Raw genomic sequence first — 5,603 nt, 5'->3', positions numbered from 1 at the left:
CAGGAGTTCGAGACCAGCCTGGCAAACATGGCGAAACCCTGTCTCCACTAAAAAGTACAAAAATTAGCCAGACGTGGTGGCGTGCACCTGTAATCCCAGCTACTCAGGAGGCTGAGGCAGGAGAATCACTTGAACCTGGGAGGCAGAGGTTGCAGTAAGCCGAGATCACATCACTGTACTCCAGCCTGGGTGATAAGAGTGACACTCCATCTCAAAACAATAAAAAATAAATTAAACATAAAAATTAGCCAGGTGTGGTGGTACATGCTTGTAATCCCAGCTACTCAGGAGGCTGAGGGAGGAGAATCACTTGAACCTGGGAGGTAGAGTTTGCAGTGAGCTGAGACTGCACCACTGCACTCCAGCCTGGGCGACAGAGCAAGACTCCATCTAAAAAAACAAAACCAAAAAAGGAAGAAGAAACTCTCATATGCAGTATTATTTCTCATGTGCAGTGCTGGAAAGGAAGCAGTGGTCCTGGCTGGGAGAAGCTGGAGAAGGAATCAAGGAGAAGATGCTATTGTGTGTACATGTATATGCATATTTTTGGTAGAGAGAGGGTCTCACAATGTTGCCCAGGCTTGTCTTGAGCTCCTGGCCTCAAGCAGTCCTCCACCTTGGCTTCTCTAAATGCTGGGATTACAGAGGTGAGCCACCACATCCTGCTGAGAAGGTGCTATTTGAAGTCGGGTCTGGATGGCTGAAAACATGTTGTGTTCCAGGGAGCAGAGAATGTGTCCTCCTTGGGTCCTCCATAGGCCTGTCCCCAGTACATGAGGTGTATAGGAGGAGGCGGGGGCAGGCAACAGCTTGGCCATTATTCCTGGCTTAGGTTCCCACTGGAAGTTTCCTTTGCAGGGTGCTGGGGGGAGCAAGGTGAGTGCATCTCCTGGAGGGGCTGCCCTTCCAGCCCAGAGGACCCTGAACTCAATTTTAATGTTCTCAAATTTTAATGTCTGCCTGAGTCGTTTTGGGTGGGGGAGGAAGCAGTTGAGTGATAGATTAATGTAGGAAAAAATTTAGCTGGAGAGTTTGTTGAAATACAAATTGTTGTCTATATCTACCCCCACAAAATCCAGATTCTGAAGTTCTGGCATGGGGCCCAGTAATCAGGGTTTTTAACAAGCTCTCCAGGTGATTCGATGTCAGTGGAACTTGGACTGTATTTCACCATATCCTCAGCAATGCTGTGGGAGATATCTAATCATGCCACACCCCTGCCTGCAAGATACTGTCAAATGCATCCTGGGCTAAGTCCAACTCTTTAACATGGCTTTCAAGTTTCTTCACAATTTTCCAGACGCAAGTACTAAGGAGGATAACAGAAGGAGATACCATTTCTCACCGAAGAAATAAAACATCCCTAAGTCTCTTATGGAAACACTGCACAATGTTAACGGCAGGCAGGCACATGCTAGGTTAATAGAAGCCAGTTTCACTCCCGTTGCTTCTGATCAGCTCTGAAAATCTTGACATTCCCCAAACATTTCACCATTCACTCCATAGCTCTGTGCCGAGGCAGATGCTCTAATCTGTGCCCCGGCTGCTTTCTCCCTCTTCTTGAAATTCCAACCTTCTTTTAAAACTCGGCTCAAAGGTACTATCCTATCACCACTGCTCTGAAGGCTTCTTGAGTTTTCCCTTATTCTGTCTCATGCAGGCCCTTGTATGTATCTTTATGATAGCATTCACTACATTTGTTTATGTGTTAGTTTCTCTGTCTAGCCCAGAAGTTCTCAACTATTTGTGGTCACTACCCAATGTGCTTTCCCCTCCCCCATGGGACATTCCCCTGGTCATGCCCAGTTAAGCTGGAGTCCAGGTGCCAGCTTTTAACTTCAGGCCATCCGCTCTTATTTAGGAAAGCACATTGGGTCATGAGAGGGTTAAAATGATAGATTGTAATGATAACTATGCTACTTTGATAAATTGTTTCCTGGGACATAAAACATTTTAGTAGAGAAGGCATCTTCAATCTGGAGTATGTGGGATGATTCATTAGGATGTAAGAAGAAAATATTAAATGTTCTACTTATATGCATTTTTTAAATCTAAAAATAAGTTAGCCTTCCTAATATTTTATTCGTGGATGGAATAAAATTCCATCACTAGTGGAATTAGTGCCCTCACTAATGTGTCACATGTCACATACTGTATGGGCAGTCTCCTGAGAGTTGACAGGGTAGAGCCAGCACAGAGGGGTTGAAAGGGCCCTTTGCTCACTTGTTCACTTCTAATGTGCTGTCATGATTGTCCTCTAAAGTTGTGGAGTTAGCAAGTAACAAAACCAGATTTTGAAATCTGCCTGACAACAGGTTGTCAGATAAATTAAAGCAAAGTTCTTGACAGTAAGGACTCTTCATAGCCCCACTGTGAGATAAAAATAATGACAATCTAATTGGATCTGACAAGAAACAACATTGAAATGATCAAGAAGTCTATATCAAATATGGATTTATATGTACCTCTTCTAGTAATAACCCCACCCCCAGATGCAGGTGGCACATTTGGATATAAGCTAATGATATGAAACCATATGGATTAGCAAGACATTTAAAAATTAGGCATTCAGGCCGGGCACGGTGGCTCACGCCTGTAGTCCCAGCACTTTGGGAGGTCAAGGCAGGTGGATCACGAGGTCAGGAGTCTGAGACCAGCCTGGCCAATTTGGTGAAACCCCATCTCTACTAAAAATACCAAAATTAGCTAGGCGTGGTGGCACGCGCCTGTAGTCCCAGCTACTCGGGAGGCTGAGGCAGGAGAATCGCTTCAACCCAGGAGGCAGAAGTTACAATGAGACGAGATTGCACCACTGCACTCCAGCCTGGGCAACAGAGTGAGACTCTGTCTCAGAAAACAAAGAAAAACAACAAAAAAACTAAGCATTCAGTCCATAGTGACAAACTTTTACACTCTTTTTCTTTTTTTTTTTCCAAATGGAGTCCTGCTCTGTCACCCAGGCTGGAGTGCAGTGGTGTGATCTTGGCTCACTGTAACCTCTGCCTCCCAGGTTCAAACGATTCTCCTGCCTCAGCCTCCCAAGTAGCTGGGATTACAGGTGCCTACCACCAAGCCTGGCTAATTTTTTTGTAAATCTAGTAGAGATAGGCTTTCACCATGTTGGCCAGGCTGGTCTCGGACTCCTGACCTCAGGTGATCTGCCTGCCTCGGCCTCCCAAAGTGCTGGGATTACAGGTGTGACCCACTGTGCCCAGGGTCACTCTTTAAAAGCAATGTTTGAAATAATAGTGTTCTGAATTCAACACCTCTCAAAACTTCACTAAACTTAATGATAAATATTTACAGATTTTCTTCTGCCTCTTTTTTTTTTTTGGTTTCTTACTAGCAAAGAGCCACGTGCCATAAATGACTAAAATAAAACAAGGGAACTCACACAACAACGAAAAGAATAGGTAATTCTCTGCACATACAGTTGGAAGATGGATAGAAAACATTGCTAAGAGTTAGAACAAATTATGAAGACTTGGGCAACTGGGTACAATATAGATTTTTTAAAAAAACACGTCTTAGCCTATTTATGAGATTGTTTCAGTTATGAAATATACATAGTTGCTGTGTGTGTATATGTACCATAGAAAGAAAAATGTACCAGTGAAGATATTCTCAACAGAAAATTACTTCTTTAGTAAAAATAATGTTTTGGAAAGAACCGTGGACGTGTCCTTACTAATAAGTTACTGCTTTGACTAGAATAAAAAGATTACTGGGTAAAAATACATACAATAGTACCATAAATGAAATTCTTTCACTGTATCACTTCCTGGTGACTTGTGGCAGCAAATCCAGAAGTACACAATCTGTGATAGTATACCATCAATGTGCTATTTGTTATAAATGCAAGACTTACAAGTATAGAGTTCTTGTTTGGTAATGAGATGGAGAGTCACCATAAAAGTATGTTGGTAATGTGCTTAACAGCTGTCAAGCTTGAAGGTGAATTCTGCATTTTAAATCAATAGACAACTATTCAAACTTGCTGAACTGTTCTGTGATGACAATTGGTTGTCAGTAATATATTACCTAACGTTTTAGAAAAAATAAACTGACTGCATAGTAAAAGGAGAGGAAATAATTGTTTTTTGAAAGAAACATGCAGTGTGGGACGTGGTAATTTCTTTAAAAGGTCAGGGGAAAGTTGACTTTTGAAAATGAATGTTTGGAAATGTTGCCACTATTAAGTGATGCTATAGCTAAAAATGAGCTCCAAGTATATCATGTCTCGTATCTATGTACATTAAAAAAGTCTGGAAGTAGACTTTTTAAACTCTCTCTAAAAATTTCAAAATCAAGAGTATCAGTGGGGTTTGAACTCATTTGCAAAAAATGGAACAGCTTCTCTTCCAGAGAAAGAATACAAATAAAAAAAAACCCACCCCCAAAATATAACTATTAAAATAAATTAAATAAAAAGAACACCTTTCAATTATGTTGCCATCCTCCTTAAAAATGATTGACATAAGCCAGGCGTGGTGGCTCATGCCTGTAATCCTAACACTTTGGGAGGCTGAGGCAGGTGGATCACGAGGTCAGGAGTTTGAGACCAGCCTGGCTAGTATGGTGACACCTTGTCACTACTAAAAATACAAAAAATTAGCCGGGTGTGGTGGTGTGTGCCTGTAATCCCAGGTACTTGGGAGGCTGAGGCAGGAGAATCGCTTGAACCCAGGAGGCAGAGGTTGCAGTGAGCAGAGGTTGCACCACTGCACTCCAGCCTGGGTGACAGAGCAAGACTCCGTCTTGGCGGAGGGGAAAAAAGATTGACATCAGGGAGAAGGGTAGTTTATTGGTGACATTTTAACAGAAATCTTTCTATAGTTGAATGAGAATCATTATTCATTTAATACAACCAACAAGAGGCATCTTCCATTTGGAGTTACCCATCTTTGTAAGGAACCTCACAAGTAGAACTAATCTTACAAGTAAAACTAACGATGTTTTAAATCAAGATTTTAAAAATAGTGAAACATTCAGTCAAAATACTTGCCCTTAACATATTACTGTTTTAGCAAGAGCAAAATGCTTACTTCATCTTAATCTTGTTCTTTACAAATTTTTAATTGATGACTGTTTTGTCATTTATATAGTATGTAAATTATATGTGTATGTAGTAATACCTATATACAGTGAACCCTCCATATTTATGGGTTCTGCATCTGTAGATTCAATCAGTCTTGAATTGAAAATATTTGGAAAAGAAATTGTGTCTGTACTGAACATGAAGAGACTTTTTCCTTGTCATTATTTTCTAAACAATACAGTATAACAACATTTACATAACATATTGTATTGGGTATTATAAGTAATCTAGAGGTGATTTAAAGTATATAGGAGGCCAGGTGCAGTGGCTCATACCTGTAATCCTAGCACTTTGGGAGGCTGAGGCAGGTGTTTCACTTGAGGTCAGGAGTTCGAGACCAGCCTGGCCAACATGGTTAAACCCATCTCTACTAAAACTACAAAAATTAGCCAGGTGTGGTGCTGTGCGCCTGTAATCCCAGTAAATCCCAGCTACTCAGGAGGCTGAGGCAGGAGAATTGGTTGAACCTGGGAGCTGAGGTTGTGCCATTGCACTCTAGCCTAGG

The sequence above is a fragment of the Homo sapiens genome, chromosome 2, assembly GCF_000001405.40.
Source record: "Homo sapiens chromosome 2, GRCh38.p14 Primary Assembly".
Classification (NCBI taxonomy): Eukaryota; Metazoa; Chordata; class Mammalia; order Primates; family Hominidae; genus Homo; species Homo sapiens.
Note: the sequence above shows the minus strand (reverse complement) of the source record.